A 17432-nucleotide genomic window follows, 5' to 3' on the forward strand; every position below is an offset into this window, starting at 1 on the left:
GCCTACCGTGATAGTCGGACTCTCCAAAAGTGGCCACTTCCTGAGATGAGGCTGAGGTTATCTCAGTCACCTATACAAACCAGATCTGGATATGGTTATGACTTGTACCGGAGTGGCATTGTCTTGAACCTTGCTCAATTACATCTGCCAGTATGTCCTGCATATCAGATCCAACGTCCACGTGACTTGCTCTGTTTAAGGTGGTATTTCTGGAACTTTTTTATTAATGATAAACAACAAGAAGAATTCTCATGATACTGAAAGAGTCTGTGAGGAAGTGGCCTAAGCAATAATCTATAGGCTTTCTTAATATCCTACATGAGTACAAAAACAAACAAACAAACAAAAACACAGAAAATCAACCAAATGAGTTGGATATGACACAGTTAAAAATGTGCAAAATGTCCTTGTTTCTCAGTATCAGTCATTTTGGGGCCACTTTGGGGAGGTTTTGTGCCTTTTTTTAAACTTCCAGATTTCATACTTTCTGTTCAGCTTTTGCAACTTCCCATGAGTACAGTTATAAAGAAAATAGAAAAAAACAGAACCTCAGCCCTCCTGTATCACTTTTAAGAAGGTGCCTCTTGCAGAAGAAAATTTGGGCCATAAAAAGCCCTTACAGGTTTGCTTTAGCTCTCCCCTTCAAGAGCATTATTTTTCTTCTTTTTTTTTTTTTTTTTATCTTTTATTTTTTTCTGGTAAGTAAGTAGTCTTCGGATGATCGGCGTTGCATATCTTTGGGAAAAATTCATGCCAGACTAGTCAAATCATAACGGCTGCTATCATCAGTTCGCTATGGTTTCCAAGTCACTCTCCAACACAGAAACCACACATACACACAACTACATAAGTCTCCTCTAATTTTGACATTGGAAATATCCATTTCAAAGTTTTTAGGTTAAAAATGAACATAATCACAAAATAGCATCTGATCATCACAAATCTAAAATAGAATCCAGATCATGCAGTGTACAATGCTCATTGACTACGCCTTTCCATTTCTTAGCACACAGAAATAAACTCTGGATGTCTGCATGGCACACTACTTATGGTGGTCTACCTACTGTAAGCAGCTGGCAGCTTTGGTCACTCGATATGAACCTCCCAAGCAAAATTACTGCAGTGTGCCATTTACCTGGAAAAAAAGAAATGTGCCTTCTTCTTGTTCTACCACTGACTACCTGAGAAACATTGTGTTAATCCCCCACACTGAGAAACTCTCTCTTTAGCTTTCATCTGAAAATATTTCTAACATGCATTACTATACATTACTTTATCTTCTTGAAAAAAGCCATGCGAAATATTGTCTTTTCTGAAAAATGCGGTCATCATTTCATTTAATTCAACAATTAGTGTATTCAAGTATATTCAATTTAGAATATTTGAGGGCCACTGAGTGATGACAAGCACTAGAGGTGCAGAAGTGAAAGACATTGCCCCTTATTGTGTAGTTTTGTGGCACTATCTAATACGGTGCTTCCTAACCAATGTGTTGGGACACATGGGACAGCTGTGCCAAGATGTTGATCCACTTAGTACTCAGGGAGGCTGGATAGGGCTGAGCTGGCCAGAGCCCAAGGATAGTGAACTCTGCAGAGAGCAACCTCTTCTATTTGTCCTAGTGTACTGAACAAATAGCAGCTCTTCCATGACTGCCATACTGTGACAAAGGTTAGGAAGAACTTTACTAAGATTATTGGCATGTCCAGGGTTATTGGCCCCAACCTTGAATAACCCAACTTTCATGCTTTTGAAATCTTATGTCTACTTTTTATAGTTTTTATGTTTCTGTTTCCTTCCAGTTAATTGCCACATCTTGCTATCATGAGTGTTCTTCCCTTCTTGGTGGCTGTTTCTAGTCTTCTCTTAGACAAAAACACAAAGCAGTGAAGCAAAGAACTCATTACACTCAACAAACACTTCCTGAGCACCTACTATATGTTAGGCACTCCATGTTCTTGCAGAAGAAGGGAAAGTGTAGGTGGAGAAGGTACACAGTTACATTTTTTAGTGAGAACACAACCTAAAATTATAAATAAAATATAGGTCACTAGGCCCTAGAAGAGTAATAACAAGGCCCCCAAATTCTAGGGCTAATATTTGAGACTATTGCAAAGTGCTTCATGAGTTTTAAAGCAAAGCCCAATTAGAAGGTTCCAAAATCCGAGCTGAGGAGTAAGCTTTACTCGTGCATATATAAGCAGACCACAGAAGCACAGAGCACACAAATTCTGAAACAGACCTGAATTCACCCTCTTGGCTCCATCAGTTATTCATCAAGTAAGACTTGAAATTTGAAGTTGCTTAATCTCCTCAGTCTCAGGTTCCACTCTTGGAATGTGTAGAAAATAATGCTGTAGAGTTACGATAAAAATTAGAGATAATATGTACAGCATGGTCTTGACTCAGTTAATGTTTGATGGATGGTAACATTTTTAAGAAATAAAAAGGTCTACATTTTATATTTGGAAATTCACCTGTTGTTGTTAAGAAAAGAAAGTTTTCCAAGTACATATATTTAAATGTCTATTACTGAAATGCTTACAGAGTGTGGAGGATATTGTCAAGTATAGTTTTGTTAACCAACAACTCCTATGCAGTCAATCTGTTTCTGAAGTGCTTCTAAAATGGCATTACTTCGCTGACTTCTCTCAGTATAATGAACACATATACATCTTGTTTTGTTACACATGCACTAAAATCTTTGTTTGGAACGCTAGTACCCTCTACAATGCTATGTACACAGTATGCCTTCACAGTTTTCCAAGGAAGTAAAGAAATGATTGAACACAAGTTTTTTGTTTTCTGTTTGTTTGTTTGTTTTACATGGGCACGGGAGCTTGTGCAAAGTCAGCTCTGGCTGGCTTCTTTCTTTGATCATATCTTGAGATAAGCCTGTTTGTTTATGAATGGCCTCTGGCTCCTAAAAGTGGAATCATAACCATGGTGATGTGCACACAACCATTGCTCTAATCCACTGTATTCCACTGTGACAGGAGACAACTCTAGTTACTCTCTGAACTCTGATATTTTTATCCGTAAGATAATAATGCTTACCTCATAAACTTGTGTGGATTCAGAGAGGAAATACATATAAGAAGCCTAGCATTGTGCCTGCCATGCAGTTGATATTCAATTTGTGTTTCCTTCCTACCCATCCTTTTTATCTGTGGTAATCTTAGGCCAATAATTTACCCATTCTGAACCTCAATTTTACATCAATGCAAAAAAGGATGATAACACCTACTTTGAAACATGCAGGGAAGAGTTAACAATGTAGTCTATGGGAAGTATCTAGCATAAGGTCTATTGCATGCTATAGACCTCAAACATTGCTACTTTCCCTTCACCCTACAAAACTGTGTTTATAAATTCTGATTTATTGGAAATTCTAATCACTGAGGAGTGTGTGTGTGTGTGTGTGTGTGTGTGTGAATTTCATTTACCAAAAAGCCATTGGATATTTAAAAACCATAAGAAAAGCCCATTGTAACCTAAATGCCCCCTGGAACTATTTCCCACGTCAGAAGGGTTGAGTCCCATGTGGCTATGCTCATTCTGAGTGGCTGAATATCCAGAGCAAAGCTGAGAATCTGCAGAATGCTAAACAGTCAGTCACCCACTGGGAAAGAGGCCGTACAACCCTGAGTCATGTGAGAGATGTGCAAATTCTGGCCAGCAGAAATAGCAGCATCAGATAATGCCCTAAGGCTTGCTCTACAATGGAGTTTATTATTATTCATGTGAACGAAGTGGGAGAAGTACTGTCATCTCTTCCTGAGGTTTACTGAATTTTCATTGACAAAAAAATAAGAACACTTTTGTTTGCCGACACACTGCCCTTTGCCGGCCAGCTACGGCCCAGCTATGTGAAGTTGCACTTCATGTTTCAATGCAGGAAATCTCCCCAATGAGAGAAAAGGTTACTTCCTCCATCATACTCCCCTGACCACTACCTCTGCCAGATCCTGTCATGTGCTAGAGAGAGAAGACAAGGCAAAAACAGATCAGCCAGCAGAAAAACCACTTCTCACTCTCACCAGCTTCCGAATCCAGAATGCAAAACCAGAGTCCAATGGTGTTATCAGCCTCTGTGGTCAAGACCCTACCTCTGGTTATGATTCATGAACAGGGACGGCGTGAGAAGTCTTCTTACACGAGGTCATGAAACAGCCATGTTGGTAGTAGCAGTGATGTCTCAGTGGCATTATCTCAAAGCCTATCTGTAAACAGTCTTTCTTTAAATAACAAGAGAAGTAGTACAGTTATAGCTTTCCTTAATTACAATCACATTCTCAGCTTACCCCCTGATCACCTCAATTGCATTTGGGCTCCCTCCTCCAAATTAGAAGATTGAGGTTCACAGGGTTCAGTGATCTTCCTGGTATCACCCAGTTAAGAAATGCTGAAGCCATATCTACAACCAAGAGGAGAAAAACCTAGTCTGGAAATTCAGATTTTAAAACACTGTTGAACTGAAAGGCATAGGGAATGTCAAGCACAAAGCTGGGCTTAGAGTAGGCATGCAAAAATTGTTTCCTTTCCTCCTGTAGCAAAGTAAAACACCCTGACTAACATGATTCTACCTGTTCTAACTGTGGTGATTCTAGTAAACTAATACAGCCACTATGGAAAACATGTGGAGATTCCTTAAAGAACTAAAATAAGAAGTACCATTTGATCCAGCAATCCCACTACTGGGTATCTACACAGAGGAAAAGAAGTCATTATACAAAAAAGATACTTGCACATGCATGTTTATAGCAGCACAATCCACAGTTGCAAAATCATGGAACCAACCCAAATGCCCATCAATCAATGAGTGAATAAAGAAAATGTGGTATATATATATATATATATATATGGATGATGGAATACTACTCAGCTATAAAAATGAATGAATTAACAGCATTTGCAGCAACCTGGATGAGATCGGAGTCTATTATTCTAAGTGAAGTAACTCAGGAATGGAAAACCAAACATTGTATGTTCTCACTGATATGTGGGAGCTAAGCTATGAGGACACAAAGCCATAAGAATAATACAATGGACTTTGGGGACTTGGGGGGAAGGATGGGAGGGGGCGAGGGATAAAAGACTACAAATAGGGTGGGTGCAGTGTATACTGCTCAGGTGATGGGTGCACCAGAATCTCACAAATCACCACTAAAGAATTTACTCATGTAACCAAATGCCACCTGTCCCCCAAAAACTTATGGAAAAATTAAATATTTAACAAAATAATAGCAGTGGTGATTCTACACCACAGGCCCTTTTATCAGCAAAATTCTTTATCCCCCATACAAGATGATGATAGCCATAACACAATAATACTACTGCTACAATAATAATACTTATCATTCTTTATAGAACTGCCAGAGAATGACTTCTGACCAGATGTCATCTCTCCACCCATGCTGACAACCAGAAACACAGTGAACAAGTATCCCCCAAGCTGGGGCCAGATCCCATGTGACAAGGGTAGGGTGACCACATAATTTGTCACTGAAAACAGGACAGAACAAATCTTTCAGAATAAAAGCGGGTGCTGTGAATTACTCTGGGATGATGTAGATACATCAAGACTGTCAAGTTCTCTCCATGCTAGAGTCTTCTCTTTATGTGACTTCCTTTTACAGACAAGGAAAGATCATTCAGAGAGATGTTATAATTTGCCAGGAGGATTCAAGCCCAGGACAACTATGACTTGATTCTATAATCCAGCTCTTTTTATCAATAGAAATGTGGACCCCAGAGACCCCATTGTGGGTCTCAGTCCCCTTCCCATTGGCTGTTCTTGTCTTTAATAAGATGAGAGTAGCGTCCATCTAAGAGGGAGGGCTTTCCCTGACCTCATGTCTCAATCTGAGAGGCACCTAACTCTGTTGACTTAAATATTTAATAGCAATCCTTAAGTAAAGAATTGATCTTTATTTTATACCAAGCCTAGAAAAAAAATGCCCATTTCCTTCTCCTCTATCACACAAGCCTCTGGGTATCTCCATTGAATTTCCTCTTACTTTCTTTGTACAAGCTTTTTTTCTACTGGTTAATTTCTTCTTGTTGGGAAATTCGGGGAGGAGATTACCACCTACCCCTGGGACTGCCAAGCCGGAAGAGCCTTCTCAGTGGGTGTCTCTCAGAGGAAAGAACAGATGTGTGACCTGAAATGAACTGGTTTTGGGGTGAAAGCCTCTGGTGTCGCTGGCACCTGCTGCCTGCAAACAGTACCTGTGAGCTGCTGTTGCCCAGTGAACAGATGTCACAGGGAGATTCTGTAGGTCACTAAATGTTCATAGACTGATCAGCTTAGGAGACATCCTGTAAGGTGTCTCACCTGGCTTGAGGTGGTCAAGACCCTGAGACGCCCTAGAAATGAAAGACAGTAAGTAATTCATGAGCTGTGTTCCGTATTTCCAAAAGCTAAAGATTTTATTTCCTCTTAGTGCATTTGTTTATTTTGCAAATGTTTCCTCAATTATTATGTGTAACTTTCATGATTACATTTGTTTACAATTATTAATCAAAATAAAATTATATTTTTATGCATGATAAGACATGATAAGCTAATTAAAATGTCTTGTTCAATAATAATAATTTGAGGAGCAAAATGAGAATTCAATGCTCATAGAAGAAGATACACAAACCCATTCTCTAATACAAATCAGGTTACAACACTCCAGTGTATCAAACTACAATGAATTCTCATGCCACTTAGAATAAAATTCTAATGCCTCAGCATTAGCCTAAAAGGCCCAACATAATCTAGCCCCCACCAACCTTTTTGATTGCACTTTCTGCCATGAACCTCCTGACCCACCGCGGTTGGTTTCTAGAATACGTCTCAGGGACTTTGCACAGCTGTTCCCTCTGCCTGTTACACTCTGCCCTCCTGTCTGCACAGGGCCATTTCCTTTATCCACTCAAATCTCAGCTCAAATGCAATTTCCTCAGTGAGGCCTTCCCTGACCACCTGATCCAAATTAGCACTTTTCCCACCCTCCCACAGTTGATCTCTAGCACAACATCTGTCTTGTCCTCTTGGTGATATATATTACCACCTGAAATTACTTTGCTCTTTTATTTGTTCCAAACTGTTAAGGGGTACATTCTCTTAAAAGATACTGGCCAGTACAGTGGCTCGTGCCTGTAATCCCAGCATTTTGGGAGGGCCAAGGCAGACTTGGGCAGCTCCTGGGCTCAAGCAGGTGGATCGCTTGAGCCCAGGATTTCAAGACCAGCTTGGGCAACATAGCAAAACCCCGTCTTTACAAAAAAAATCAAAAATTAGCCAGGTATAGTGGTGCATGTCCATAATCCCAGCTACTTGGGAGGTTGAGGTGGGAGGATCGCTTGAGCCCAGTAGGTTGAGGCTGCAGTGAGCCATGATTGTGCCTCTGCACTCCAGCCTGGGTGACAGAGTGAGACCCTGTCTCAAATAAATAAATAAATAAACAAACAAACAAATAAATAAGAGGTATAGTTATGACCCTTGTACACATATAGGATGAACGTATATCAAAGATTTTTTAAATAACTCACCACAAAAAGGAGAACTATGTGAGCTAATGCATTTGTTAATTAGCTAGATTTAACTATTCCACTATATATGTGTGTGTGTACATGTATTTCAGCACATCAAGTTGTACATGATAAATACATACAATTTTATCCATCAATTTAAAATTAATTTCATAAATAAATAACTTCATAAAAGGTTTTATTAGCTCAATCATTAATGAGGTAGCCAGTGAGATGTTACAACCAGTGCCACACATGGATATTCAGACAAACAATGTTAAAATAAATATACAAATCCATGCAAACTGGCAAAAATGTTCAATATCCACAGGGTGATAATCAATTGCATTCCACCAGATGCAGTTTGCATTTCTATGGACAGGAATTCATTGCCTTACTACCAGTTTTCTACAAGTTAACTTCTATCTCAACAGCTATAAAACAGCCAAGTGGAAGGCAAAGACTCACATCCCAGTAGTACCAGATAATCTCCAGCTGCTCCAGATTTACTGACAGAATATTCAGTAATCTCTTTTGCTCATTTCAAAATCATCCACAATTGTTTCCTATAATATATATTACTGTCTGAAAGTATCTTGTTCCTTTACTTATTCCTTTCCTAATAACCCTGTTCTGGAATGTAAGCTTCATGAAAGCAGAGACTTTGCCTTATTCACCAGTTTCTCCAAAGCGCAAAACTATGACCAATTTCTACTAGATGCTTGGGAATATTTGCTGAATAAGTTGGTGACCAATAACAGCATGAAGAAAAAATGCAAAAAAATAAGACAGCCACATCTTTCTTTTCATATTGCCAAAGGGTCATAAAAGGTCCCATCAAGTTCTGCGGAGTGTACAAAGGACATCTCCAGGGTTGTCAGTTATCAGCTCAGCACTATCACCCCACACTTCTAAGGCAGGAACTGCATTTACTAGAATCCCTTCCTGGTGTGATTCAGAGTTAGAATTTGCCAGTGGGAAGAACTCACAGGAGATTCGGAAGGCAGAAGCGATATGAAGTCAGAGATCCTAGTGGCCAGAGACAGTGGCATTTTAGACCTTTCCATGCGTTCCAACTTTACAATCATGTTGACCCCTTGTGACAGCTTCTCAGATGTCTCTGCCAGCTCCAACTCTACCAGCTCCAGTGCTCTAGGCTGAAGTGCTTCTGGATAAAGCCTTCTGGACCTTCACTTTCCTGCTCTTCCCACATTTATGTAAGCCCTAATTTCTGTATTAAACTATTTTCCCTAAAAAACTTGTAGTGGTTCTATTTTCTTCGCCAAACCCAGACTAACACAGAAGAGATTTCATACACTGCTGGGATAAAAGCCTTTTCCGTTTCATTCAACTTTCAATAACTATTAAGCAGTAACATGTCTTGGAGAGCAATTTGATAATAGTCAGGCAAGAGTTCACAATCTTTGACCCAGTAACCCACTTCTAAGTTAAGTCTGTTCTAAGGAAGTAATGATTTATCCAGACAAGATCTCAGTTTATGAAAAAGGATGTTAATGAAAGCAAAAGGAACACTTTCTTTCCAGGGAAATGGTCTAAAACTTAATGCATATCCATAAGATATAACATTATGTAGTTTATATGAATCATGTTTTTTTAAAATTATTTTATGATATGGCAAAATTACCACTATTAAAGGTGAGTGAAAGTACAACATATCAAATCATATATGAAATAATTTAATTTGCAAAAATAAAAATAAAATCAAATGCATACTGTGCTCCACTGTATATTACCTGTGTGACTTTGTACATGTCAGTTAACTTTTGAACATCAGTTTCCACAGCTGTCAAGTAGAGATCATAATACTTGCCATGCCTTTCCTAAAGGGTCAAATGAGATAAGTTCTTTATCTGAAGCACCAGACCAGCGTAAAAGGATCTTACAAACTTCATCTCATTAACAGCAGGAAGTGCCTTATAGTAATTAGAAGCAAGCCCTCTGGAGCCAGCTGTTACGGTTCAAATCCTGGCTTGGCCACTTACTAAGAGTAACACAATAGGGAAGGCACTTAGCCTATCACTGCCTCAGTTTCTCCATCTGAAAAATAGACATAAAGCTATTAATATTTCATATTATTATTGCTATATGAGAACTAAATTAGTGCCATGTTTAGGACTTAGTACATGGTAAGAGTTAAATTAATGGCATTTTTCCTCCAAAGTACTCAACATATTCATTCTATAATTATTTATGGAGCATTCATTGTGTGTTTTAGACTGGGAGGTTGCAGAAACATTTAATACGGGATCCCTTGCTCTCAGAGGAATTCACCATCAAGGGGGAGAAGGGCTAAGTACATGATCATAACGATAGAATAAGGAAAAAAAATCTGCATCATAGAGCTGCTTCTAGGATTAAGAGGTGAAAATACATGTAAAGTATCATATGTGAGATCAAGTAGAAAAGAATGGTACCCCTTTGATGAGATAATTGTGTTTCCACAAGACTAAGTTGTCCAGCATCACCCAGTTAATTTGCATTTTACATACTTGATCTCCTTAGGTCTTTACATCAACACTATATAGTAAATATTATCATCCCAATTTTACCACTCAAGTAAAGTTTACCGACTTTACTAAAGCTCAGTAAAGTTATAATTTTCCCAGGGACACATGACTAGAAAATGGAGGAGTAAGAACTTTAACCAAGGTCAGGCTAACTCTTCCTAGGACCTTTTCCACTGGGCCATAAACCATAAAAATGTTTAATTTCAATTTTGATAACATTGTGATTCATTGCACTATCCCTGACCTCCACATCCCGAGATCTTTTTCCCCTAGACATCAGGGACAAACTCTTAAGCATTATTTCTGTATCACCCAGTACCTGGTACAGTGTCTACCTACTAGGAACCCCAATAAATCAGTGTCACATGAATGAAGAAAATGCATGTAAGTACAAGTCAATGAGGGAAAAATAGAACCATTGTCTTCTATCAAGGATTTATTTAAACAGAAAGAATAAAAGCTCAGATAACTAGCCATGAAAACAGTAACCACTCAGCTTCCAGAAAACGGTTTGCTCCCTGATGAGTCTCCCATCAACTTCAGTCAACAGTGCAATCCCACGGCACATTAAGTGGAGAATATGATCCAAAAGAAACACTATCAGTAGGTGCATACTCAATTGTTCTGATTAAATACAGCCTGCCAGAATTAAAACACCATAGGCTGTTTGCAGAACTCCTTAGTTTTAATGAGATAAATCCCATTTTAGTCACAAAGATACAATGTATTCATCAGGCCCCATGAAGTGACAAATGTAAGTGACAAATGTAACTGGTCTATGATACAGTGTGGCTAATCTGAACTTAGTTGTGGAAATTACAAGATGATCAATTAACGCTGCCCAACTTAATTCCTTGAAGCCTCACTTGGTGGATTCAGGTAGGCAGTTATTGTGTCAGCCTTTAGAGAGCAATTTATCTCACCAACATTCCAACTAAAAGGAAACTAACATTTGTTAGCAGCTAATTATGTGGCAGGCTCTAAGCACAAGCATTTGCATCAGCCATCTCCCACTCTCTCAGCAGTGACCATATTACCCCCAGAATTGTACAGATGTGCAAAGTGAGGCTCAGAGATGCTAAATAACTTGCTCTAACACACATCTGGTATGTAGCAAAGCCTGGATTCAAACCTGGACTTGTCTGGTTTCAAAGACATTGGTGTTGGTGGGACAAGAAGAGGTAGGCCTGCCGGGGTTCAAATCCCGGCTCCTACATATATTAGGACGTAGCTTTGGCAAATGTCTTAAATTTCCCTATCCTTAGTTTTATCTGTCAAATGGATACCATATTTGTACCAATTTCATAAAATGAGTGTGAAAACTAAGTGAGACTGCAGAAAGAACAAAGGGGAGTTGTTAGCTGTTCACTCACAGAATGTTGCACATACTTCTGCAGGGTCAAAAGAAATAAGCGAGGACAGTCCAAAGAGTTCCGCGTGTTTAGATGAGGTCACACAGATAGTAAGTGCCAGGCTAGGACTGAACACATCGCAGGATCTGTTAAACACTCAACCAAATGCCCACATACTTCCACTTTATCTTCATTGATCCTCATAACTAACCAGGTAAGTAGGGAGCCTAGGTAGAATGCCCTGAGTTGGGAGGATGAGCTCAGAGTAGTGAGGCACTCACCCATTGAAACAAAGGCAAGCATAACCTTCCCTCACCTCACGATGTCTGTGGCACTAGAGCTTGCGAATAATTTTCTTAGTTAAGATAATTTGGGTCCAAACCCCAGCCTGCAGCTTATTAACTGTAAGACCCAGGTCCCTCATCTGTAAGACAGGGACAGCAATAGTTCCTACATCATGGTGTTGTTGTAAGTGTTAGGACTGGGTCTGTCATTATTTAACCTTTCTATAGCCAAGTTTTGTTATCTCTATATGAGAACAACAACTATCCCCACCTCCTATAATTGTTGTGAGTGTTAAATTATTTAATCCATATAAAGTATTCAGTGTGGTGCCAGGATGTATGTTGAAAGCACTCAGTAAATGTCATTTGCCTTCCTTTAGTAGTGGTAGTGATGGTAGTGGAGATAGTAAATTATCAAAGTACAAATACCTTGGTAAAAATGATCCTCCCTAAATAGCTAATGCATGCAGGGCTTAATACCTAGGTGATGGGTTGATAAGTGCAGCAAACCACCATGGCACACATTTACCTATATAACAAACCTGCGTGTCCTGCACATGTATCCCAGAACTTATTAAATATCCCAGAAATTATTAAAATAAAATAATTTTTTAAAATCCTCCCTAGATTCTTATCAGACCTTCACACGTTAACCTGAATGGATTTTTTATTTAGTTGGTTGGTTGGTTTGGTTTCTTTCCTAAGAAATTTACTTGTTTATTCCCAGAAAGTAGAATAAAGTCATAATTCTACTAATTACTCCCAATAATGGAGAGGGTCTACCTTGCTAAGGATATAGAAAGGCAAACTTAAGCTGCTCGGAGCTGCTGAGAATGAAATGGAATGATGCATGAAAAGATCATGGTGGTGGCTGGGATGCACCATTAGTTCCTGGTACTATACATACTAACCAAGTGTTGTAGGATATTGCCTCAGGTGACATGAAGGTTTTCCCACTCTAACACTCTTCATGTGAAAGGGTGTTGGTCTGCATGTTCATTCGTACATTGATTTTAAGTGGTGGTTTAAAAGCAGCAATTCTTGGACAGCAGTGCCCCCTAATGATCCCATTTAATTTAAGACATCGGGGTCCAAATGATGTTCAAATAACTCACCCACAGTTAACTCGGACATACTTTAGTGCTTTTCAGCTCTGTAGCCAGCTATGTTCTAGGTGCTGCTGGGAACGCAAATGTTCAGAAAATTTATGGTAAGGCTTGAATGTGCCTTCCAAAGTTCATGTGTTGGAAACTTAATCCCCAATGCAGCGGTGTTGACAGGTAGAACCCTTAAGAGATGATTAGCTCATGAGGGCTCTGCCCTTACAAATGGATTAATGGTGTTATCATGGGAGAGGGTTATCAATAGAATGGGTTCTAATAAAATGATGATTTTCTCTTTTCCTTTCACATGCACATGCTCTCTTGCCCTTTCACCTTTCTCCATGGGATGACACAGTACGAAGGCCCTCACCAGATGCCAGCGTTATGTTCTTGGACTTCCAAGCCTGAACCATGAGTGAATGGACTCTCATTGTTTGTAAATTATCCAGTCTATGATATTCTGTCAGAGCAGCAAAAAATATACTAGGACAATCTACCTCCTGGGAGCTGTTTAGAGCGCTAACTCCAGCCTGCATCTTTGGCAGCAGCACATATACCTCTCATTCTGGCTGGCTGTGCTCTGCCACATTGACCTGCTTTGTCACTTGCAACAACCTCTTGCCTGACTCCAGAGTCTGCAAATTTTATTTCCGCTTTCTGATTGGCTCTCTTGACCCTCTCCTCCACCCTTTACTACTTATCTCACTATTGCCACTCATCTTTCAGGTCTTGGCACAAATGTCACACAGAAATGTCTTACCCCACTCCCCAAGCAAGGACACAGTCTCCTGTTATATGAGTTTATCTCACCCTTCATTTTTTCTTGCAGGCCCCATCACAACTACAACAAAACTATTATTTGGGCCATTGGGTGTATAATGCCTCTCTCAGCACTCACCTAACTGTAAGCTCCATGAGGACAAACTCACCTCTGTATCCCTAGTACCTAACACAGCACTGGAATGTGGTTGCCACTCATTAATAATGTGTTTACTTAATTCAGAAATTACAGAGGGGTGTGAGGTATTGGGGTGTTGCTGAGTTCACTTTTGTTTTTGTTTTATTTCTTAGAAGAGGAATAGTGGTAGATTAAATTTCTTAAAGCAACCTGGCATTTAAAAAATCAAAATGCCTGTTTACTTTTTTTTAAAATAAATGTATTTGAAGTTTACAACATGATGTTATGGGATACATATAGGTAGGAAAATGGTTACTACAGTGAAGAAAATTAACATATCTATCAACTCAGATCATTACTTTCTTGTGACAAGAGCAGCTAAAATCTAATTATTTAACAAATATCTATCGCAAGAACAAAAAACCAAACACCGCATATTCTCACTCATAGGTGGGAATTGAACAATGAGAACACATGGACACAGGAAGGGGAACATCACACTCTGGGGACTGTTGTGGGGTGGGGGGAGAGGGGAGGGATAGCATTGGGAGATATACCTAATGCTAGATGACGAGTTAGTGGGTGCAGCACACCAGCATAGCACATGTATACATATGTAACTAACCTGCACGTTGTGCACATGTACCCTAAAACTTAAAGTATAATAAAAAATATATATATCACCAGCAATACAACTTTGTTACTATAGTCCTCATGTTATACAATTAGATCTCTAGACTTGTTCATCCTACATATCTGCTTTGTATTATATTTTTAAAATAACTTTTTAAGATGAATTTATTCTTTCACTTTGAATCATTTTAAGGTAGCCAATATTGCATAGAAATAAAATGTTTATGGGTTTAGCAAAGTTACAATTGACTTTCTCTTTGACCCATTAATTCTATTTCTAGAAATCTACCCTACAGAAACATTTGCAAAAGCATGAGATGACAAATGTGTAAGGTCATTCATTATAGCATTATTCATAAATCAAAACATTAAAAACAACTCAAGTGTTCAGCAATGGGGAACAGTTAAATAAACTGACACACAATGGAGTAACATGCAGCTATTCAAAAGAATGGGGACAGTATCTATGTAGTAATATGGAAAATTCATCTGAGTGTATTGCAAAGTGAAAACAGGAAAGCGTAGAAGAGTTATAATATGCTACCTTTTGTGTAAGGGAAGAAAATATGAACCTCTATATGTTTCATATATCTGCAAAAACAGGAGGACGAAAAACACAGAGAATGTAAACAAAAAACTAATAAAAGTAGTTACCTTATAGGAAATGCATTGGGAATATATGTAAGGGAAAGAGAAACAAAACTTCTTTGTGTATACCTTTCTATACCATCATGCCCTTTGAATAATGTGGGTTCATTATTCATTAAAAGTAAAGCTAATTTTTAAAAATATTTCTAAAATTAAAAATAAACCAAGACAAATAAATATAACCATATATCAATTTAGAAATATTATCACACAGAGAAACAATTATTTTTTCCCCAAGATGTTTGAGAACACAGCACTTTGTACATTCTTAGTGGGATACACTTCATGGACAAAAGAACTACATCAAATTTTAAACTAAATCTGACTATTTTATGTTCACATTCATATTGTTATTTTGAAACTATTCTCTTTGTATCATTCAAGAAAGCAAATGAGGAATTCTATTAATGGTGTTCTAAGAGAACAAAAGCCAATCATGAAATCAAAAATTAAGCATAAAACTAATGTTAAAATTGAAGTGATGACAGTTAAATGAACTTTCTGTTTTATTAATTACATATTTTCTGTCTTAATTCATTGAAATGGCCTAGCCACCATGTCATCCAGTATCAATAACCACACCTGGCACCAGATTTTGCTTTGTAAAATCAAGAGTTCTTGTAGAACTGGCTGCTTTCAGGACTGAATTAGGGAAGGTACAAAATACGCCTAGAACATATTGTTATGTTCAAAGGCAAAGAAGCTTTCAAAGAGTAATTGGGCATATCAAAAGAACACAAGAACCAGGTGGAAGGAGCTCTTGCTGACCCAAATTGTGATGATTGAAACACTAAAAAGAGTAGTGATTATAGCAAATTAAAATATACTGAATACACTAGAGCCACGAGTCCATAATGACTCAAAAAAGAGAAAGCCAGAAACAAAACCTCATTTGTCACCATTTGGAATGATTCTTAAAAACAATTTCTCCCTTTCCGAATTGGGAATTAAAAAGAAGTAGTTAAGTGTTTATTTTGCCTTTTCAGTAAAAACTCTATTTCAGGGCAAATAGACCCATTTATCACAGAAAGTTCTGTTTTATGTCAAGCAGTAAAGATAAAAGGAATATTAGAATTATGAAGTCGACAATTTACCACTCCCAATGAGAATCTTGTTTCAAGCATAGAAGGCTGTGCTGTTCCCACAAAAGAGTAAATAATTAAGTGCAGTCTGGGGAGGATCCGAGGAAGCTTCCAAGGAGAGGCAGTTTGGGCTGAGGCTTGAATGATGAACAGAATCAGCCACAACATGAATACAGGAGGACTTGTCAGATGGAGGGACATTATGGGGGGCCTGAAAAAGCTTGAGGAACTGCACTTACATTGGAAGGGATTGTTATCCACTTAAGATACCCAGAGTCAGCACAAAAACTGAAAATTGCAAAGAGTCAAATGTATCCTTACAAAGTCCCATTTTGGAAGGAGCTTTCTTGTAGCCCAATACACTGTCTCTCAGTAAGCCCATCACAGCCAGTTTCTCCACAGAGTTGTGATCAGATCACTATTTGAGAAATATGAAGCAGTTAACAATTGGAGGTGATGTTGTTCAAAGACAGCATGCTCTGAGATGCTCCCACTCTGGGGGGCATGTGGGGACTGACACCAATGAAGCGAAGAACAAGAGTCATAGCTGTCCTCTCTGGCTTCCTAGGGGCATATGGCACGATGAGTGGACCAGCTGCCCACGTTGACATTGCTCAGAGTGTTCATTGTTCTCTTGCTCTCCGTATCCCCATCCCCTCTTAGTTTAAGTTGAAAACATCCAGGTAGTCAGCCACTATTGCTGAGTATACATGATGCAAAGGTGCATGGAAAGGGACTGGAGGGACCAGGTCTGAGGGCCCTCTGGGAAGTAAAGAGAGAAGTGGGAAGGAGTCACATTAGGACGGGACTATTTTGCTAAATTAGCTAGTGTAGGCTTTGAAATAAAGGGAAGCCAATGGATGGAGTTTCAAGCAAGGTATGGCATGATAGGACCTGTGTTTTGGAAAGATTACCCTGGATTTATTGTGAAGAATGGCCTGGCGGCTGTGGGGATTCCAGGAAGGGGGAGAATGCAGACAAGCAAGGAGACTACAGGCATTATTGTCTTTACATCTGGCTTCTTTTTCAGGTCCTCCTTGAGAGGCCAAGCATCACATGAATTGGACATGAAGGCAAAATTTTTGATCTGAAGGGGGAAAGGATGCCATGTTTAGAACTCTGCACACAAAGGAGAGGCTATTTAGGGATCTAGATTCTCCAACCACAGAAAGTTGGCGGGTGAGAAGTGGCTGCTTCCCACTGAACTCCCCAGGGCAAATGAAGGGACCCACATGGCGTTTCTTCCCAACAACTTACCACAGACGTGGAAATTATAAATGGGGCCAGGAAGTGGTCATTTCATGTCAACCCACCTACCATACATTCAAAATAGCTGCCACTTGCCCAAAGACACCTCCAAATTCTAAACAGTCTGCCTAGCAC

General features: G+C 39.0%; 1 long non-coding RNA gene across 4 annotated transcripts in view, besides 3 other annotated features; it reads right to left on the bottom strand.

The window, feature by feature from the left end:
• The window catches only part of CCDC26 (CCDC26 long non-coding RNA), a 328546-nt gene that overhangs the window by 196879 nt on the left and 114235 nt on the right, over positions 1 to 17432 (bottom strand). The window lies entirely within an intron of this gene.
• Positions 131 to 250: an enhancer, noted in NCBI's record as "active region_27967". NCBI's record gives its function as "activates an Ori minimal core promoter by ATAC-STARR-seq in GM12878 lymphoblastoid cells {active_cell/tissue: GM12878}" and the evidence as "EXISTENCE:reporter gene assay evidence [ECO:0000049][PMID:35858748]".
• Positions 3696 to 3755: an enhancer, noted in NCBI's record as "active region_27968". NCBI's record gives its function as "activates an Ori minimal core promoter by ATAC-STARR-seq in GM12878 lymphoblastoid cells {active_cell/tissue: GM12878}" and the evidence as "EXISTENCE:reporter gene assay evidence [ECO:0000049][PMID:35858748]".
• Positions 5945 to 6114: an enhancer, noted in NCBI's record as "active region_27969". NCBI's record gives its function as "activates an Ori minimal core promoter by ATAC-STARR-seq in GM12878 lymphoblastoid cells {active_cell/tissue: GM12878}" and the evidence as "EXISTENCE:reporter gene assay evidence [ECO:0000049][PMID:35858748]".

This window comes from Homo sapiens, chromosome 8, assembly GCF_000001405.40.
Source record: "Homo sapiens chromosome 8, GRCh38.p14 Primary Assembly".
Classification (NCBI taxonomy): domain Eukaryota; kingdom Metazoa; phylum Chordata; class Mammalia; order Primates; family Hominidae; genus Homo; species Homo sapiens.